Source organism: Homo sapiens, chromosome 4 (assembly GCF_000001405.40).
Source record: "Homo sapiens chromosome 4, GRCh38.p14 Primary Assembly".
NCBI lineage: Eukaryota > Metazoa > Chordata > Mammalia > Primates > Hominidae > Homo > Homo sapiens.
Genome location: NC_000004.12, coordinates 70675541 through 70696679, shown reverse-complemented (window position 1 = coordinate 70696679; position 21139 = coordinate 70675541). Strand labels below are relative to the sequence as shown.

Sequence of the window (21139 nt, the reverse complement as noted above, 5' to 3'; positions counted from 1 at the left end):
TTTTTTCAGATGGAGTCTCACTCTGTCGCCAGGCTGGAGTGCAGTGGCACGATCTCGGCTCACTGCAACCTCTGCCTCCCGGGTTCAAGTGATTCTCCTGCCTCAACCTCCTGAGTAGCTGAGATTACAGGAGTGCACCACCACGCCCAGCTAATTTCTGTATTTTTAGTAGAGGTGGGGTTTCACCATGTTGGCCAGGATGGTCTTGATCTCCTGATTTCGTGATCTGCCCTCCTCGGCCTCCCAAAGTGCTGGGATTACAGGCGTGAGCCACCACACCCAGGCTAGCATAAAGTTTTGTAACTGAGGTCTATGGACTCCTGGCTTCAGGGAGTCCAGGAACCCACTGTCATATGCAAAATGTGATTAGGACTGTGCTATGGTTCTGGGGTGGGGTGAGGGGAGGCCTACTGTTTTCAAGATTCTCAAGAAGTAGTCCCATGGTAATGCCACATCATATTTCACTCTTGTAATTAACTTCATTCATATGCCTAATGTTATTAGCTGAGAGAAACCCAGAGCAGTGTTTCTCAAAACATATTCTGTAGACCATTTGGATCAGAATCATGTTGCATGCCTGTTAAAACAGAGATGACTGGATCCAACACCAGGAGAGTTGAATCAGAATCTGTGCAGGTAGGGCACAGGAATCTGTACTTTAAACTTACCAACTGATCCTTGGACATTCTGGTTTAAGAACCATTATGGTTGGCCGGGCACGGTGGCTCACGCCTGTAATCCCAGCACTTTGGGAGGCCGAGGCAGGCAGATCACAACGTCAGGAGATCGAGACCATCCTGGCTAACACGGTGAAACCCTGTTCCTACTAAAAATACAAAAATCAGCTGGGTGTGGTGGCAGGCGCCTGTAGTCCCAGCCACTCAGGAGGCTGAGGCAGGAGAATCACTTGAACCCATGAGGTGGAGGTTGCAGTGAGCCGAGACTGCGCCGCTGAACTCCAGCCTGGGCCACAGAGCGAGACTCCGTCTCAAAAACAAAAACAAACAAACAAAAGAACCATTATGGTAGAACCTAAGAGAAATTAACTCATTCAAGTGGAGTAAATTCGCTTTTTAAGACCGGGTCTCACTCTGCAGCCCAGGCTGGAGTGTAGTGGGGCCATCATGCCTCACTGCAGCCTCCACCTCCTCAGGCACAGGCAGTCCTCCCACCTCAGCCTCCCAAGAAGCTGTTACTACAGGCACGTGTGGTACCATGCCCAGCTAATTTTTTTAATGTTTTATGTGGCCCAGGTTGGTCTTGAACACCTGGGTTCAAGCAGTTCTCCTATCTGAGCCTCTCAAAGTGCTGGGATTATAGGTGTGAGCTACCACACCTGGCTAAATTAGTTTTTTTTTTTTTTTTTTTTTTTTTGAGACGGAGTTTTGCTCTTGTTGCCCAGGCTGGAGTGCAATGGTGCAATCTCGGCTCACCGCAATCTCTACCTCCCGGGTTCAAGCAATTCTCCTGCCTCAGCCTCTGGAGTAGCTGGGATTACAGGCATGCGCCACCATGCCCGGCTAATTTTGTATTTTTAGTAAAGACGGGGTTTCTCCATGTTGGTCAGACTGGTCTCAAACTCCCGACCTCAGTTAATCCACCCACCTCGGCCTCCCAAAGTGCCTGGATTACAGGCATGAGCCACCGCGCCCAGCCAGTTTTTTAAAACTGGATTAAAAAAAATAGTAACGAACATGAAGCACTTACTACCTGTCAAGTGTTCTTCTAAATTGATGTTACATGATTAACCATTTAAACTATTAACTATTATATATTATTCAATGTGAAGAAATTGCAGTACAGAGAGGTTAAGTAGACCAAAGACACATGGTAAGTGGGTGAAACAGGACTTTGAACTCAATCTGGCTCTGGAGGCCAAACTCTTCCCAATCACTTCCCTTTATTGCCTTTTTTTTTTTTTTTTTTTTTTTTTTTGAGACAGCGTTTCACTCTTGTTGCCCAGGCTGGAGTGCAATGGAGCAATCTCGGCTCACCGCAACCTCTGCCTCCCGGGTTCAAGCGATTCTCCTGCCTCAGCCTCCTGAGTAGCCGAGATTACAGGCATGCATCACCACGCTCGGCTAATTTTGTATTTTTAGTAGAGATGGGGGTTTCTCCATGTTGGTCAGGCTGGTCTTGAACTCCCGACCTCAGGTGATCCACCCGCCTCAACCTCCCAAAGTGCTGGATTACAGACGTGAGCCACCACGCCCGGCCCTATTGGCTTTCTTAAAGCAGAACATTTTACTAGTTTCCTCCAGGTCTTTTTGTTTTGTAGTTTAACAAATGTTGATTCTTGATATTTGCTATCATTTAAAACTTCACTTTGTAGCAAATGTAAAATCACTGGTTTTATTTTTTAAGAATAGCTGAAAGAATCAAAATATATCATCTGGAATACATAGCTAAAGTAACTACCAATTAAAAACTCAGCTATGAGAAAATATATCTTAAACAAAATGAAAAAATACAGACTAATATTTGTTGATGGGGGGGGGTATAAAGGTTCTATACTGTTTTTTTCTATTTTTGAGACGTAGTCTTACTCTTGCCCAGGCTTGAGTGCTCACTGCAACCTCTCCCTCCCAGTTTCAAGTGATTCTCCTGCTTCAGCCTCCTGAGTAGCTGGGACTACAGGAGTGCACCACCATGCCCGGCTGATTTTTTTTTTTTCAGTAGAGATGGGGTTTTGCCATGTTGACCAGGCTGGTCTCGAACTCCTGACCTCAAGTGATCTGCCTGCCTGAGCCTCCTGCCGTGCTGGAATTACAGGCATGAGTCACTGTACTCTGCCTGTTTCTGTTTTTTAAACTTTCAAAGGCAAATTATAATTTTGTTTTTAAGAATAAAAAATACAATCTGATTAGCTGAAGCAGCTTTTTTTTTCAGTGTGATTTTTGTTGTTGTTGTTTGAGACAGTCTTGCTCTGTTGCCCAGGCTGGAGTGCAGTGGTACGATCTCAGCTCACCACAACCTCTGCCGCCCGGGTTCAAGCGATTCTCCTGCCTTGGTCTCCTGAGTAGCTGGGACTACAGGCGTGGGCCATCACGCCTGGCTAATTTTTGTATTTTTAGTAGAGATGGGGTTTCACCATGTTGGCCACGTTGGTCTTGAACTCCTGACCTTGTGATCTGCCTGCCTCAGCCTCCCAAAGTGCTGGGATTACAGGCATCAGCCACCGCGCCCGGCCCAGTGTGATTTTAAATTCTAGTTAGAAACATGATTTTTTTTGGTAACATCTATAATTCAGTGTTCCTGTTCAGTACCTGTTCATCATTGTGATCTCCAAGATGTAAAGCATACTAAGTTCCACTTTTCTTGAATTATTCTGGTAATGTTAACTTGTATAATTTAACACGTTAACTTAAAATTATTTTATTTCATAGCAACTCCAGCCATTCCTCAGATATATCAAATATTTTGTGTAAGATACGTGAATCAAATTAATTATTCAAGTTATCTAAGCTAGATTTTATCTTTTAGATCACAAAAAGTAATTTTCCAGTTTGCCAAAAACTTTGACCATTAGGTAGTTCTTAGAGGTCTGAGAAGCGAATAAAATTTACTTCTACACAAAAATTAAAGTGGCATGTTGATCTTATTTAACTTCTTCATAGGTAAGAATATAGGTAAGAAACTGGCTTAGAGAAATTGGCCCAAAGCCAGTCAGCTGATTAGTGGCAGAGTAAATGCATCACTAGCTATTTAGTGGATCACTAATTTGATGTTTTCTTCTACTTTAATTTTTAATATTTTGTATTTTTCATAGCTGTCTATAGTTTAATATACTGCCATAAAACTAACAGGTTGTTGATGCTTTGTACTGATGCCTGCTACCAGTAATGTACTTTATTGGAACTCTTACCCATGAAGCTCTCCAGTCTTCACAAAGTGAGTTTTTACAAAAAAAGATTATCACATTGGTTAACAACTTATTCATGTACAAATGACAGTACCCAGCACATCTCAGTGCTCTTTAAATGTTTGTTAAATATACATAACAAATTTTGAAAGATGCGGCTGGGGGTGGTGGCTCTCGCCTGTAATCCCAGCACTTTGGGAGGCTGAGGTGGGTGGATTACCTGAGGTCAGGAGTTCAAGACCAGTCTGGCCAACACAGTGAAACCCCATCTCTACTAAAAATACAAAAATTACCTGGGTGTGGTGGTATACACCTGTAATCCCAGCTACTCGGGAGGCTGAGGTAGGAGAATCACTTGAACCTGGGAGGCAGAGGTTGCAGTGAGCCTAGATTGTGCCACTGCACTCTAGCCTGGGTGACAGAGAAAGGCTCCATCTCAAAAACAAACAAACAAACAAACAAAAAAAACACCAAAAAATGGCCAGGAGCGGGTGGATCGCTTGAGGCCAGGAGTTCGACTGGGACTGTAGTCTCAGCTACTCCGCAGGCTGAGAGGCAGAATTGCTTGAACCTAGGAGGTTGAGGTTGCAGTGAGCTGAGATCACACCACTGCACTCAAGCCTGGGCGACAGACTGAGACTCTGTCTCAAAAAAAAAAACAAAAAACAAAAAACAAACAAACCCCCTGCAAAAGATCCAACCCGGCAGTCTAACTACAGTCTGTTCTTAACCACTGACTTATGGCTTCTCTGAGGTAGGTATAATAACAGAGACTCATACAGATGAAGAAAATGAAACTCAGAGATTAACTGAAAATCATCCTGTTAACTCCAAAACCTGTATTTTTTCTATTATATCAAAAAAAAAAAAAAAAAGGAAGTATAGAATTGGGTTCTGAAGCCATAAAGGCTGGGTTGAAATCCTGGCTCTGCCACTTAATAGCTGTGTGACCCTGAGAAAGTTACTTCTCTTTGCCAGTTTCCTTATTTTCAAAATATGGATAACAGAATTTACCACATAAGGTTATGAGAAATAAGGAAATAAGCACAAAGTGCTCGGAAAGTTACCTTAGTAAGCACTGTTATTTCTATTTCCAACCTACCTCTTTTATTTATAAGGAAACAAAATAATTTGTCCTGTGTGCTACTCTGAGGAAGCAGCTGTAAGCCAGAGGTTAAGAGAATGAATGCTCAAGTTGGTTTGGGTTCAGATTTCAAGCAGATGTCCTTTAGAAAGTCAACCTTCCAAAATTTCAGCATCCTCATCTGTGGAGCACAGTATCACCTTGCAAAGTTATTGTAAAGATTAAATGAGGTGATGTACAACTAGCACATGGCAAGTGTTCCATAAATATTAACCAAGCGTCATCTCTGCATCTCTAGCAGCTAGCACAGTGTTTACTGAATAAACAGTGACACAATTAGGAAATTAGGACTTTTTTTTGTGGTTTCCTTCACTAGTCCTCTCATTTTCTTCCCTGGCAACATCCTATTTTTACATTTACCACCTCAACATCTTCCCCCTATTTAAAGACCAGTGTAGCAGCAAAGAAAAATGGCTAATGTTAAATGACGAGTTACGGGGTGCAGCACACCAACATGGCACATGTATATATATGTAGCTAACCTGCACGTTGGGCACATGTACCCTAAAACTTAAAGTATAATTAAAAAAAAAAAAGAAAAGAAAAATGGAACATTGAGCTGGGCGTGGTGGCTCACACTTGTAATCCCAGCACTTTGGGAGGCCGAGGCGGGCAGATCACTTGAGGTCAGGAGGTCGAGACCAGCCTGGCCAAAATGGTGAAACCCTGTCTCAACTAGCAATACAAAAATTAGCTGGGCGTGGTGGCAAGCACCTGTAATCCCAGCTACTCAGGAGGCTGAGGCAGGAGAATCGCTTGAACCCGGGAGGTGGAGGTTGCAGTGAGCTGAGAGATCCTGCCACTGCACTCCAGCCTGGGCTACAGAGTGAGACTTCAATCTCGAAAAAAAAAAAAAAGAAAAATGGAACTTTGTTGCCACTTAAAGTTACCACTTACCTGGTAGTAATCATATCAAAGTTTTAGCAAATGGAGTGCAAGTACAAGCAGCAACCACTGCAAATCACCAGTAAAGAAGGGGAAATGGGATTTTTACCTTATTTGCCACATGAAGAACTATGAGAAAATATTGACAATTGATGTAATTAAGGCATATCTTTTCCTTTTTCTGCTTTTAACCAAAGTTTCATTCCTATGCTTTTAAACCACACAGAACATATGAAATCCATGTTAACATTAAGCCCATTTATTAACAAGTATCTGGCCCAATAATTATAGTTAGGTAAATAAAATACTTCAGAACTATTTTATAGGCTGCCTTACAAATAAGATAACTGTCAAAGATGCATTCTCTTTATGTGAAAAGTTACACATGTTCTAAGTTTAACACTCCACAATGAACTGTGAAATTTCCCTAAGCTAATACTTAATATTGGAAAACTTCAACAGAATATTGGAAAACTTCAACATCATCTCTTTTCTCAAGCACCTTCATATTGCTCCCATAGTTCTTATAAATTGTCCAATAACCCAGACAAATTTCCTTGTGGACAAGAATTTTTAAAATTTAAAGTATTATATATTAATACAATGACTTTAGTTAAAAGTAAAAATTTATTGATCCAAAACTGCCAAAAACCTTATGCTAAGCAAAAACTTCATTTAAGCTTAATGCTCTTTTTAACTCCTGCACGAATGCCAGATAATTCACCACTATAACGTTGCTCTTCTTTACGAACTTCACGAACCTGGCCTCTTCTTCTAATTTTGGCTCTTCTGAACTTCTCTCTGTGTTTCACTCTGGGATTGCGATCAATCTTCTTTCTCCTAGGAGTAAGTCCCCTATTTTTAGCAATTTGATAGGTAATAGCTCTCTTTGCATTTTGATCTTCAAGAGCCTGTTCTTCAGTGCTATTTTCTTCTTTCTTTCTCTTTAGCTTTTGCCTGTCTTCTATTTCTTTATAGTACTTCAGTTTTGCTTTTTCATCAAAATCAGAATCATCAGAAAGATCTGTAACAGCACAGGCAGCAGCAGAAGTCTTTGAAACAGACTTTGGTTTGGGCTTGGTGGATTTTGCTTTTGGAATCAGTTCTTTCTTTACAGCATCATCCTTAAGTGTCAACAGATGACGAATTTCTGAGGACAGCTTCTGATCCACAACGGACAGCTTGTTGATCAAATTTCGGTAGGTAACAAGCCTTTCTATGACAGGATGTCCATGTGCTGGGACTCTCCTAGCTTTCAGGATCAAATAAAAACTGATGTTCGAGCAATAATTCAAGTAGAGGTTGTACTTGGTCCTCAAGTATTGGCTTCCTTTTCCGGGTGGAATGATCCCTTGTTCCACCAACTCTAACAATGGCTCCAGCTCATCCTTAACCTCTGTCAACTTGACTTTCAGGTCTTCTATCAGCTCCAAGAGTTCTGGTGATTCCTTTCGCAACATTTTCAGCTTCTCTTTCACTGAAACTTTAGCCAAATCCTTCACGACCCGTGTCTCAGCCTCATCTACCTGAGGCACTGGTTTTGCAAAGGCCTCAACCCAGGCGACACCAAAATCATCCTCTTGCAGCGCTTGGGCTAGGCGCCGCTGAATGATCTGTGCCTCCTCCTCCTCCTCTCTTTCCTCCTCCTCTGCCTCCTGTTGACTCTGCCGGCCTCGGGACTTGGAACCATAGTCCGTGTCATAGTAAAGTTTTTTCCTCTGACCCCACGACAAACTGGGATCCACAGAGGCCTCAGCTTCACTTTGCACGGAGCTCCCACCATCATCATCGGCATTCTCCTCCTCCTCCTCCTCCCCCGCATTCCCTCCATCTTCGTCGTCCTCATCGTCCATATCTAGGGCTAGCACCTCCTCCTCCTCCTCCTCGCCATCCTCCTCGTCTCCACTCTGTACTTCATTCCAGCCCTTAGCTAAGGCGGCCCGGGATCGTGCCTCATGAAAGTCATCTACCTGATCTTGGTAGTAGCTGGTGTCCCCTGGTGAGGGTGGCAATCCTAAATCATCTCCATTTTCGTCGGTGAGCGTGGGACCTGCCTTGGCTCGCACAGCTGCCCACTTAGCTGCTCCGCGCCGCCGGGATCTCCCCACCATGGCTCACAATCTCAGGTTTTACAGCGACTCCGGACTTTCGGCCACCACTGACTTCGGCGCAGGAATCAGGCGCTCCGGTAACTCGTGGCTCTAAACAGCAGCGCGCTCCCCTACCACCGGAGTTTGCAGACTCCTGATCGGCTACTGGAATTTCCTCTTCCTTCCGGCCCCCAGCATGCTCTCCGCGTGGCGTACGATTGAGGACTTCCGCTCGGTCCCTTAGTCGAGATCACGTTGATACCAACTTCCTTTTCACTGTGCCCTTTAACGCCAGTCGATTCCGGTGAATTAAAATCTTTCCGTGTGGAAACGATAGGATAAGGAAGTTCCGTTCCACAGAACGCTTTCTCGGGCTAATGCGCTTACTCTCGAGTGCCTGGGAGTGGCTGGGGGACGGAATCCTGACGGCACCTCCAGGCGAGGTCCCGATGGCCAATAGAGGGCGCTGCGCTTTACGCCCCGGAGAAGTCCCGGGGGCGTTCCATTGAGGTTTAACTGCGTGTGTACCCGGCGCTTGCGACCGGCAGTCTAGTGCTAGCGTAGTTTTCCTGCTCCCTTGTTTTCTCTTTTCTGCTTATCAGGCTGGAAGTTAATCAGATTGCTTTCCTCTCATTTCACCCCCACCCCCAATACCATATTTCTGGGTACCACAGCCTCAGGCAGCGCCGCTGGACTCCAGAATCCCACGGGAGGTTTCCGGGCGAGAGCGCAGGCCGGGCCTCCGGCTCGGGTTTACTCATCCCCATCGCCCTCTCCCTGCTCACAGGGCTCGGTGACCCGCTCCATGGGGATCGATAAAGCTAGATGACCCCGAGGCTGACAGTGGGAAGGCAGAGCCCCGCTGCAGGGTCTGACTCTTCTCAAGGAAGTCTGCCCTGTAATGTTAGAGTAATTCAGGGTGTAAGTTTTTAGGCATTACATATGTAAGGTTCAGGGTTAGTATTATTATACCTTTTAATGTAGGTAGTTGGAAGCTGAACTTTTGATACGTTGCTAAAATTAATGGTGACATGGCTGGGCGCGGTGGCTCATGCCCATAATCCTAAGCACTTTGGGAGGCCGAAGTGGGTGGATCACTTGAGGTCAGGAGTGCAAAACCAGCCTGGCCAACATGGGGAAACCCAGTCTCTACTACAAATACAAAAAATTAGCGGGGCGTGGTGGCGGGTACCTGTAATCCCAGCTACTCGGGAGGTTGAGGCAGGAGAATCACTTGAACCCGGGAGGCGGAGGTGGCAGTAAGCCGATATCGCACCACTGCACTCTAGCCTGGGCGACAGACAGAGACTCTGTCTCAAAATAAATAAATAAATAAATAAAATAAAATTAATGGTGACAATTTCTTTTTCTTTTGTTTTTTGTTTCTTTTTTCTTTTTCTTTTTTTCTTTTTTTTTTTTTGAGACGGAGGCTCGCTCTGTTGCCAGGCTGGAGTGCAGTGGCAATCTCGGCCCACTGCAACCTCCGACCCCCTGGTTCAAGTGATTCTCCTCCCTCAGCCTCCCGAGTAGCTGGCATTACAGGCACGCGCCACCACTCCCAGCTAATTTTTGTATTTTTAGTAGAGACGGGGTTTCATCATGTTGGCCAGGATGGTCTCCATCTCCTGACCTCGTGATACGCCCGCCTCGGCCTCCCAAAGTGCTGGGATTGATTACAGGCGTGAGTCACCGCGCCCAGCCAATGGTGACAATTTCTTTTCAGAAAGTATAGTGTCATTAGGTTAATAAAAATAATGCAAAATGTTAGAAAAGTGATACTTTGAAATAAACATTTTCCAAGTGCCTAAAGGTGTCCGAAACATTTTGAAATTTTTACAAGATTTTAGAAAATAAAATTAAATTAGAAAGTTGTGGGCAAAAGTTATGTTCTGATGGTAAGCATGAATTTATTTTTTAATGTAAATTTTAGTACATTTTGTCATTTAGCAGATATTAACTGCTTACTGTTTGTTGTAGAATGCTACAGACAATAGTGATGAATCAGCCAGTTAAGGACTGTATAATCAGGTAGAAAAGAAGACACTCATACAGATTACTGGAATACAAGGCAGTGTATGATGTAAACCCGGTGCTGTAAGAGAACAGAAGGATAAGAGATAACCTTTAGATTGCTGTTTTGGGAATATTGCTTAAAGAATATGACATCTATGCTGGAATTGTAGTTATTTCCTTACTTTAAATGTTAAATTTTCATTATTTAAACACTGTTGCATTTAGGCACATAAATAAAAATTTTTCATTTTTATTGCAAATTATTTGAGAATTTAGTGTCAGACTTCAAGACTAAAATGCATATACTATTATATATAAGTTAGAAAAATATTTTGGATATTTTAAATGGGAATGATCACATTAATATTATTTAGTTTATACTAAATGTTAAATTTCCTAACCAGAACAGAGTTGCAGTATTCAATGCATATTCAGAGAGTATCGTATTCTAACATTCTCAGATCCTTTGTTTTTAGAGACAGGTGCCTGCTGTGTTCCCCAGGCTGGGTAGAACTCCTGGGCTTAAGTGATCTCCTGCCTCAGCCTCCTGAGTAGCTGGGACTAAAGGTGCGTGCCGCTTCACCCAGTTTTTCAGATCCTTTTGATAAAGAACAATTGATTCTCCTGCCTCAGCCTCCCACGTAGCTGGGATTACAGGCACCTGCCACCACACCTGGGTAATTTTTTTGTGTGTTTTTTTTTTTTTTTTTTTTAGTAGAGATGGGGTTTCACCATGTTAGCCAGGCTGGTCTCAAACTCCTGACCTCAGGTGATCTGCCCACCTCAGCCTCCCAAAGTGCTGGGATTGCAGGTGTGAGCCATCGCACCCAGCCAATCTGAATCTTTATTTTATTGTGATGTCTGGCTCAGGAGTTAGCAAGTTACACTAATGAGAGCCAGCAGGTTAAAAAAAAATTGTTTTTGCCTTACTCTAAGCCCTTTATGGGATTTTCTTACTATGGAAATTAGGGAGTCTATGAATGACACATTAGGTGATGATACATTAGGATACTTCTTTCAGGGCATTTATTCTGGGTGTTGGAGGTATTGTATGATCACATTAGCTTAAACTAATCTTTATTTCTTCCTGGACTATTGAAACAATTATAATTAATAATAGCTAACATTGAGAGTGGTTATTGTGTGCTAGATACCATTACAAGCTCTTGAAACCATTATAACCCTGTGAAAAGTTACTATAATAATCTGTAATTGGAGATGAGAAAATTAGGCGCATATAGCTTAAGTGAGGTCATAAAGCTAATAAGTGTTAGAACTAGATTTAAACTAGAACAGTCCAGCTTCAGAATCCATGTTGTGCTATAACTAACTACTATACTATACTGGCTTTCAACTTTTCCTTTAATAGGTCTCCTCCTTTTAGTCTCTGGTACATTTGATCTGGTACATCAGATATATCTTCCTAGAATATCATTTCTGTCACCGCATATCCTGGTTCAGAAACTTTCATTTACTATCCAGATAGTAAAAACTTTCGTTTACTAACAAAATTTACAGCATACATGGCTGTCCTAAAGTTTTACCCCAAAACAACCTTTCCAGTCATACCTTTCATTACTACAAAAACCTTCAATGCTAAGCTAAGTACTCTACTATGCTTTATTCTCATTTGTCACTTTACCAATCTTCTGGGTGTTCAGAATTACCTGTATCAGAAATTTATAAATCATTGCAGATATCTTTTTGGTTAAGAAATTCTCACATAAGCCCATCCATAAGGGGACCTGTGCGAAGCTATTTGAAAAGTTATTTTTGGTAGCAGCGAGTTAGAGACAACCTGGATATCCGTCACTGGAAGAGCAGATCAATAAAATGTTGTGGAAGAACAGCATGGAATTTAGGAGCATAGGGTGATCATACATTCTGGCTTGCCCTGGATGGCCCTGTTTAACCTGTTATCCCAGTGTAATTATTAATAGCACCTCCTTTCACTCTCATGATTAAGATGATAATTTTTTTTTTTGAGACAGAGTTTCACTGTTGTCACCCAGGCTGGAGTGCAATGGTGCGATCTCAGCTCACTGCAACCTCCGCCTCCCAGAGTCAAGAAATTCTCCCACCTCAGCCTCCCGAGTAGCTGGTATTACAGGTGCCTGCCACCACGCCTGGCTGATTTTTGTATTTTTAGTAGAGACGGGGTTTCACCATGTTGGCCAGGCTGGTCTCGAACTACTGACCTCAGGTGATCCACCCCTTGTCCTCCCAAAGTGCTGGGATTACAGGCTTGAGCCACCATGCCTGGCTAAGATGATACATTTTATAGTGATTTTAACTATATAGTAATTGGAAGCAGTAGATTATATATCCATATGGCAACATGAATGGATTTTTAAAACAATGTGCTAAGGGAAAAAAGTAAAAAATAGAATGTAATAAATAATATACCATTCACAAAAATTAAAAATGCAGGCACAATAATGTAACAATACACATTTTGTAGGAATATAATCAAACAAAATAATATACATTAAACACAAAAGAATAGCTGTTTGTGGAAGATGAAGAATGGGATAAGGGTTGGAGATTAAAAGGAATAGAAGAGGACATTTCCACAGACCAATAATAATGTCAGGAACTGAGGAGAATAATTAACTGCACCTGAGATTTAATTAAAAAACAAATGAGCAAACAAAAAATGACTATATCAATTCCTAACTTAAAATCCTGCAGAAGCGTCCCAACGTCTATATAGCAGGGGTGTCCAATCTTTTAGCTTCCCAATGTCTATAGCAGGGGTGTCTAATCTTTTGGTTTCCCTGGGCCACACTGGAAGAAGAATCGTCTTGTGCCACACATAAAATACACTAACACTAACAATAGCTGGCTGGGCACGGAAGCTCAAACCTATAATCCCAGCACTTTGGGAGGCTGAGGTGGGCAGATCACCTGAGGTCAGGAGTTCAAGACCAGCCTGGCCAACATGGTGAAATTCCATCTGTACTAAAAATACAAAAATTAGCCAAGCGTGGTGGCACACGCCTGTAATCCCAACTACTCGGGGGGCTGAGGCAGGAAAATCGCTTGAACCCGGGAGGCAGAGGTTGCAGTGAGCCAAGATCGCGGCACTGCACTCCAGCCTCGGTGACAGAGCTAGACTCCATCTCAAAAAAAAAAAAAAAAAATCGCAAAAGAACTTACAATCTTTTAAGAAACTTTCCAGAGTTGTGTTGGGGTGCATTCAAAGCTCTCCTGGGCTGCATATGGCCTGCAGGCTGTGGGTTGGACAAGCTTGGTCTATAGGATCAAATTCATATGCTTCATCACCACAGTCCTGCATAGATCTCAAACTTCCTCTCTATCAATTATGTGTAATTGTACCTGATTTTTGTTGTTAGGTGGACAGTGACTTTTTCCTTTAGCATCCATAGCCAAGTTCAGACTCCAAAGATTATGGTTTCCAAGATAGACACTAGATTAAATAGTAATCTTTCTTGGCTGGAGTGGGGTGTGAGAAGGTAGTGGAAATGCAGTCAGTCAGTCCAGGTATGTATGTTTCTGTACTCTGTCAGCACTTCAAAGCAGTAGCCTTTAACAACGTAGTGTCTTTTGAGCTTCCATAGTTATCAGCATAGCTCTTCAAATTTAAAAGTAATTAACAAGGTGAAATATTTAATATATAGCTTTCATGAACTTAAGACAATAGTTGAGTCTCAGCGTGGTGGCTTTCACCTGTAATCTCAGCACTTTGGGAGGCTGAGGTGGGCAGATTGTCTGAGGTCAGGAGTTTGAGACCAGCCTGGCTAACGTGGTGAAACCCTGTCTCTACTAAAAATACAAAAATTAGCTGGGCGTGGTGGTGCACACCTCTAGTCCCAGCTACTCGGGAGGCTGAGGCAGGAGAATCGCTTGAACCCAGGAGGTGGAGGTTGCAGTGAGCTGAGATCGCGCCACTGTGCTCCAGCCTGGGTGACAGAGCAAGACTCTGTCTCCAAAAAAAAAAAAAAAAAAAAAAAGAAGACTATAGTTGAATGCGTATTACGTTGTTTTTTTAATTTTTATTATTATACTTTAAGTTCTAGGGTGCATGTGCACAACGTGCAGGCTCGTTACATAGGCTCGTTACATGTGCCATGCTGGCCCATTGCATCCATCAACCCGTCATTTACATTAGGTATCTCTCCCAGTGTTATTCCTCCCTCTGCCCCCCACCGCATGACAGGCCCCAGTGTGTGATGTTCCCCACCCTATGACCAAGTGTTCTCATTGTTCAGTTCCCACTTATGAGTGAGATCATGTGGTGTTTGGTTTTCTGTCCTTGTGATAGTTTGCTCAGAATGATGGTTTCCAGCTTCATCCATGTCTCTGCAAAGGACGTTAACTCATCCTTTTTTATGGCTGCATAGTATTCCATGGTGTATATGTGCCACATCTTCTTAATTCAGTCTATCATTGTTGGACATTTGGGTTGGTTCCAAGTCTTTGCTATTGTGAATAGTGCTGCAATAAACAGCATATTACGTTTTTTCCCAGCATCACAGACTAGGCTAGGATGACTGAAGCTGTCAAAAGAAGTAGCTTTTCTTAAAAATGTGCATAAAGGTAGTAATAGTAAAAATAATAATTTGATATAAGAGTTATATTGGGAAAATGTATTCTTGGTGTTAGTACCTATCAATATATTTGGATAATTTAATATAACCCCAGAAACATGCTGAACTATTTTTGGATGCAAAAAAGAAAGAAAGATTATTTTTAGTTATAAGAAAGAAAATGGATGAAGTTTGCCATCTGCTTTCATTTCATCTAGTTTCATCTGTCAGAAACCACTTACTCTGAAACAAATATGTCACAGATTCTTTTTGCAAATAAGGTCTGTATCTATTTTAAGTCCCAAAAGTCCTAAAAGTGACTTGGAAGTAAAATATAGAGCTTCTACTGAAATATTTGGTAAATATTTGAAGCTTTTAATCTTTAATTTAACTTAATTTAAAATAACTGACTGGATGTTCCTCACCACAGATTTATGCTTTCTCCTTATTAGGGAAAATGAACTTAGTATGGCACTTACATATGATGTAAACACTCTGAATAGAAGAGTTAGAACAAGAAAATTGTATTTTCTTACCTACTTTTCCAACTAAATCTTTAGAGTTCCCTTTTGGTGTTCTTTCATATCCTTTTTTGGGGTGCCATCTGATATTGCTCTTTATGAACACCTCTCTGCATCTAGAAAACAGGTTTGGTAGCCTTCATTACAAAATGAAGAATTTAGTGAAATTACGACACTGCTTTCCCTTCCAAACTCTAATTCAACTAAAAACTTGGCAATTACTTTCTAAACATTATTTAATCCCTTTTAGTTTTTTCTTTTCATGGGAAAACTTGTAACTACAATTATTTTGATTTAAATATTGACCCAGTGATAATTATAGCTTTGGTGGTGAAGGTCTTTTGAAACACAGCCCATGTTAAAATTTTTTCTTTAGTCACCCCTCATTCTCTATAGAATCAAGTTCTTATCTCTAAGCCAATATTCAGGGCCTGCCTTTATCTGGCCCCAACTTATTTTTCCAGCTGCTTTCCCACTTTCATGAATTATATGTTCTAGCCAAACTATGTACTCATTTTTTTTTCTCTTTTTGAGATTTTTATTCTCTTGGCCTCTCTTTGGGCTGTCTCATATTTCAATGCTTATATGGCCTTCAAGGCCCAGCTAAGATTGTGTCTTCTCTAGGCTGTCTTCTCTGATATACTTCATTCTATTAACATCTAATAGTCCCTAACTCTTCCTTTCTTAGGGATTTCTAAACATTTTCTCCTTTGTGTTAAGACTAGTTATGTACTTGTCTTGGCCGGGCGTGGTGGCTCATGCCTGTAATCCCAGCACTTTGGAGGCCGAGGTGGGTGGATTGTTGGAGGCCAGGAGTTACAAAAATTAGCCTGGTGTGGTGGTGCATGCCTGTAGTCCCAGCTACTTGGGAGGCTGAGACAGGAGAATTGCTTGAATCCAAGAGGCAGAGGTTGCAGTGAGCTGCGATCACGCCACTGCACTCCAGCCTGGGCGACAGAGCGAGACTCCATCTCAAAAAAAAAAAAAAAAAAAAAAGATTTAAGCAGGGGCCAAGAAATGGGAAGTTAAGTTTTGTATATGTTTGATTTGAGGTGTCTGTGAAGCTATTTAAGTGTCTAGATGTCTTCTAGATGGTTTGATATATGGATCTCTTTAGAGAAAGAAATTTTTGATGTCTTTAAAATTCAGTTGAAACGTGGGACCATATTTGATATTTAACTAAAGGCAAATAAAATATAATTTTGGGTTGTTCTGACTTAAGTAACTAGCACACGTGAACTAGTAGACCAAAAGTGTTATACTACCTACCTGCTACTAGAGTTATAGGACTACATATCTCCAGGTGTCAAATTAAAAAGGCTTGGATTGGCTGGGCGCAGTGACTCATGCCTGTAATCCCAGCACTTTGGGAGGCCGAGGCAGGTGCATTGTTTGAGGCCAGGAATTCGAGAGCAGCCTGGCCCACATGGTGAAACCCCATCTCTACTAAAAATACAAAAATTAGCTGGGTGTGGTGGCCCAGACCTGTACTCCTAGCTACTCAGGAGGCTGAGGCAGGAGAATCATTTGAACCTGGGAGGCGGAGGTTGCAGTGAGCCAAGATTGCACCACTGCACTCCAGCCTGGGCAACAGAGTGAGACTCTGTCTCAAAAAAAAAAAAAAAAAAAAAAACCAAGCTCTGTTAAATTTCAATAAGGTATTAGAAATTATTAAAAATGACCTAAGAATTTAATAAGCTATTTGCAAATGTGATCTTGATCTATATCTATTTTGGGTAGAGATATATTATTTATGCTATGAGCAAAGGGGAATCATTGGAGGGTTTTAAACAGGGAAGGATTGGAAAATTGACAGAAGGAAGTTGGTGCAAGATGGTGATAGTCATCAGAGTGATGCGTTTTTGTGTCTAAATCAGGGTCCTGGGAATATGGATATGAAAAGTAGGCAGATCAAGAGCTAAGCATTATGCTAAAGTAATTGTTTATATGTTGTAGCCATGTTCTAGCATATTCCATGCTTTACACTTATCAATTTAATTTTCATCAATCTTGTGAAGTATGTACTACAGTGATGCCCATTTTATAGATGAAACAGAGAAAACAAGATTTTATAACTTGTCAGAGTCCCATTTGCACCCAGGCAATAACTGACTCCACAGCGTTTGCTCTTTTGTTCAGTAGGAAGACTAAGTAGAAGTGTCTCTTAAGACACATCTTTACAGTTGCATCTGATATTTTAAAAATAACTGACTGGATATTCCTCACCACAGATTTATGCTTTCTCGTTATTAGGGAAAATGAACTTAGTATGGCACTTACATATGATGTAAACACTCTGAATAGAAGAGTTAGAACAAGAAAATTGTATTTTCTTACCTACTTTTCCAACTAAATCTTTAGAGTTCCCTTTTGGTGTTCTTTCATATCCTTTTTTGGGGTGCCATCTGATATTGCTCTTTATGAACACCTCTCTGCATCTAGAAAACATTAATATATAAAATTACACACATATGAAGAAAAGTGATAAAGTAATATGCCAGCTGAGTAAAATGGTATACAAGATACAAGATGAATTTATTAGCAATGAAGAAACAAAGTAAAAGAGTGAACAGAATGGAATGACATTTAGACCTACTTGAATTAGTTTGAAAGATTTTAGGGTTTTTTATGAGGATGAACAGGAAGGAAAGAGAAATAAATTTATGGTAAGGAAAATGACAAACTAAAAAAGATTCTGAAACAGGAATTAGCAGATAATATACAGGAAAAGGAAAGCAGACATAATTGACTAGAGCAGAAGCCTCTCCAGAAATCAGAAGTTTTCTTAAAGCAGAGAAGGACCAGACCACTGCAATGGATGAATTGAAGGGAGCATATTCTTTTTGTTTGAGGGGTATCCTGGAAACCTTACTTATTATTGTGTCCCTGGAGAGATTACCATGAAATCTAACCAGATTTTTTTTCAAATGAATTTTTGGAAGTAGGCCCTTTTTAAATTAGGACCTGCCTGGCAGGTGATATGGTGAAGGGAAATAGCTCTGTGTGATGGTCAAACCACTGACATGTAATTTCTCAAACAGCAATTCTATGAAAAACCACTGCAGGTGCAAGTTTATTTAAAAGCTGACCACAACACAGGTGCAATTCTCCTCATAAACATTTAACCACAGAAGGACTACCCTAAAAGTCTATGTGGAAAGCTGTTCGAGAAAAAGAAGTCAATTTTTTGGTTTGTATTTTTTAATTTTTAGTAAGAATTTGGAATGAAGTTTCTTCTTCATATTTTGAGGGTTTTTTTTTTTAAATTCAGCTTTTGCCTCTGTTTTTTTTTTTGAAATGGAGTCTCACTCTGTCGCCCAGGCTGGAGTGCAGTGGCATGATCTTGGCTCACTGCAACCTCTGTATCCCAGGTTCAAGCAATTCTCCTGCCTCAGCTCCCGAGTATCTGGGATTACAGGCATGCGCCATCATTCCCAGCTAATTTTTGTATTTTTAGTAGAGATGGGGTTTCACCATGTTGGCCAGGCTGGTCTTTAACTCCTGACCCCAAATGATCTGCTTGCCTTGGCCTCCCAAAGTGTTGGGATTACAGGCGTGAGCCACTGCACCCAACTGACCAGCTTTTGCCTCCTGATATCTAAATATAAATTTTACATACACTGTGCTTGGATAGAGATCAATATTTGAAGAAACTCTGCATATAAGAACGAAAATGTTTAGGGTTAAAAAATGGCAGTTAGTATTATCAGACATTTAATGAGGTTGGAAGTCACAAAGATTAGGAAGGAGGGTATCAAAGGGTATCAAAGTTGAGTAAAAATGCTCTGTTTGACTTTTAATCATTCAATGCTTATATAATATCAGAAAAAATCATTCAGTGTATATCTCTGCAAAAATAGCTAAATATATATATATTTTTTTGAGACAGAGTCTTGCTTTGTTGCCAAGGCTGGAGTGCAGCGGTGTGATCTTGGGTCACTGCAGCCTCCTCCTGGGTTCAAGTGATTCTCCTGCCTCAGCCTCCCAAGTAGCTGGGACTACAGATGTACTTCACCACACCCAGCTAATTTTTGTATTTTTAGTAGAGCTGGGGTTTTACTACGTTGGCTGGGCTGGTCTCAAACTTCTGACCTCAGGTGATTCATCAACCTCAGCCTCCTGAAGTTCTGGGATTACAGGCATGAGCCACCGTGTTCAGCCAGCTAAAGCATTTTTGTTAGACAAAATCATTTTTGATTATTTCACTTATTTAAATTACAGATTTCTAAGTTTTGTATCATTTCACAAGGTATACATAATCAAAACATCACATTGTGAAATGATTCAGTCTAATCTTTCAATTCCCCCACCCCCAAAAAATGCCAATTAGAAGAAATTTCTCCATATAGATGTGAAAAAATAGTATTAATGGCTCTTGGTATTGTGAGAGGTAAAATGGACTGTAAGTTAAGAGGCTTAGGCTCTCTACCTTTAGCTTTAGAATGACTAAGATTGATTCTGAAGTTCAAAATAGATTCTAAGCTTGTACAATTGAAATGGGGGAAAAGGCCAGGAATGGTGGCTCACGCCTGTAATCCCAGCACTTTGGGAGGCCAAGGTGGGTAGATCACTTGAGGTCAGGAGTTTGAGATGAGCCTGGCCAACATGGTGAAACCCCACCTCTACTGAAAAAGACGAAAATTAGCCAGGTGTGGTGGTTTATGCCTGTAGTTCCAGCTCCTGAGGAGGCTGAGGCAGGATAATCGCTTGAACCCAGGAAGCGGAGGTTGCGGTAAGCCGAGATCATGTCACTGCACTCCATCCTGGGTGACAGAGAGAGACTCCATCTAAAAAAAAAAAAAATGGGGGAAAAAAGTTAATCCTATAAAGTGCATGGTGTTGTTATCTACTATGATTCTCCCCCTCACTCTGCTGCAGCTACAAGTGCCTTCCTTCCTGCTCCTCATCCTGTGTGGGCCAAGCTCTTTCTTATTTTGTGCTTTTTACTTGTTGTTTCCTTTCTTGGAATAGTGTTTGCCTGACTCTAGGTTAGGCAGAATAATGTCCCTCCCAAACATTGCAAATATAGTTGCAATTGCTTCTGTACTCCTTAATATTATTAAACATATTTTAAAACTTTTATTGATAATTATTCCAGATAAGTCATGTGTGCTCTTGTGGATTTGGACACAGAGTGCCCTATAGGAGTTTTAGGAAGTTCAGAGCAACCCAGCAAGGATCTTGGTAGGAGGACCGATTGTCAGATCAAGGGCTATACCTCAGTTTTGTCATAGTAAAACAACCAGGCTGGGCGCGGTGGCTCTCATCTGTAATCCCAGCACTTTGGGAGGCTGAGGCCGGTGGATCACTTGAGGTCAGGAGTTCAAGATCAGCCTGGCCAACATGGTAAAACCCCGTCTCTACTAAAAATACAAAAATTAGCCAGGCGTGGCGGTGCATGTCTGTAGTCCCAGCTACTCGGGGGGCTGAGGCACAAGAATTGCCTGAACCTGGGAGACGGAGGTTGCAGTGAGCCAAGGTTGCGCCACTGCACTCCAGTCTGGGCAGCAGAATGAGACTCCATCTCAAAAAAAAAAAAAACAAAAAACACACAACACAAAAAACATCTTCCTCTTTATCCTTTGTTAGTAATTTTATGCTTGACTGATTTGTGAAATTCTGGGATATTTGGGGACTTTTAGTTTTGTAGTATTAAGTTAATAGCAGTTATATATTCATGATAAGTATATATACACACACATATAATGAATTTTCCACTTTGTTGGAGTGGAGATGGTTTTTGATGGAGTGGAGATGGTTTTTGCTGTTAGCTTCTCTTGGCAGCAGATCTTTCGTTCAGTGCTAATAGAATCTTCCTTCAGTTTATTTCTCTGGATTGATTCAAAAGTTACTTTTGTATTGTCTAGTGTCTCAAACGTATAGAAGTTAGAGAGATGGTATACACGGAGAAGAGTTAAAGGCTGTGCTTTCAATGGCCATTTGACATATTTTAGAATCTATGTTTTAGGGAAATAAATATCTTACTTTCCTCTCTGTATTCCTTGCAAGTGTGTCATTTAATTCTGGGTTTCTGGGATTGTTATATATACCTGGTTGTAAAAGTAGTCATGGAG

The 21139-nt window shown here is 41.3% G+C and overlaps 1 protein-coding gene and 1 long non-coding RNA gene across 6 annotated transcripts, besides 4 other annotated features; both read right to left on the bottom strand.

Annotated features, from left to right (window-relative positions):
• Positions 1–6128: 6128 nt before the first annotated feature.
• UTP3 (UTP3 small subunit processome component) lies at positions 6129–8148 on the bottom strand. The gene has a single exon (NM_020368.3). The coding sequence runs from the start codon at positions 8000–8002 to the stop codon at positions 6563–6565; it is 1440 nt and encodes a 479-aa protein (NP_065101.1). The 5' UTR covers positions 8003–8148; the 3' UTR covers positions 6129–6562.
• Positions 7284–8252: an enhancer, noted in NCBI's record as "H3K27ac hESC enhancer chr4:71554145-71555113 (GRCh37/hg19 assembly coordinates)". NCBI's record gives its function as "activates a minimal SCP1, AML or CMV promoter by ChIP-STARR-seq in naive H9 embryonic stem cells {active_cell/tissue: H9 hESC(naive)}" and the evidence as "EXISTENCE:reporter gene assay evidence [ECO:0000049][PMID:30033119]".
• Positions 8023–8082: an enhancer, noted in NCBI's record as "active region_21601". NCBI's record gives its function as "activates an Ori minimal core promoter by ATAC-STARR-seq in GM12878 lymphoblastoid cells {active_cell/tissue: GM12878}" and the evidence as "EXISTENCE:reporter gene assay evidence [ECO:0000049][PMID:35858748]".
• Positions 8253–9223: an enhancer, noted in NCBI's record as "H3K27ac hESC enhancer chr4:71553174-71554144 (GRCh37/hg19 assembly coordinates)". NCBI's record gives its function as "activates a minimal SCP1, AML or CMV promoter by ChIP-STARR-seq in naive H9 embryonic stem cells {active_cell/tissue: H9 hESC(naive)}" and the evidence as "EXISTENCE:reporter gene assay evidence [ECO:0000049][PMID:30033119]".
• Positions 8783–8872: an enhancer, noted in NCBI's record as "active region_21600". NCBI's record gives its function as "activates an Ori minimal core promoter by ATAC-STARR-seq in GM12878 lymphoblastoid cells {active_cell/tissue: GM12878}" and the evidence as "EXISTENCE:reporter gene assay evidence [ECO:0000049][PMID:35858748]".
• On the bottom strand, positions 9864–18022 carry LOC101927297 (uncharacterized). Of its 5 annotated transcripts, none has more exons than XR_938860.3 (4): positions 17938–18022; positions 17403–17503; positions 15081–15181; positions 9864–10073 (listed from the first exon to the last, which is right to left on the bottom strand). It is a non-coding gene; the product is annotated as an uncharacterized LOC101927297 (long non-coding RNA). The 5 variants fall into 5 exon arrangements; XR_938863.3 differs by lacking the exon at positions 9864–10073 and adding an exon at positions 13996–14452; XR_245251.4 differs by lacking the exon at positions 9864–10073 and adding an exon at positions 14394–14514.
• Positions 18023–21139: the final 3117 nt, after the last annotated feature.

What these genes read in the sequence shown, in the direction of transcription:
- UTP3 (NM_020368.3), bottom strand. Translation starts at nt 8,002, where the DNA reads ATGGTGGGGAGATCCCGGCGGCGCGGAGCAGCTAAGTGGGCAGCTGTG.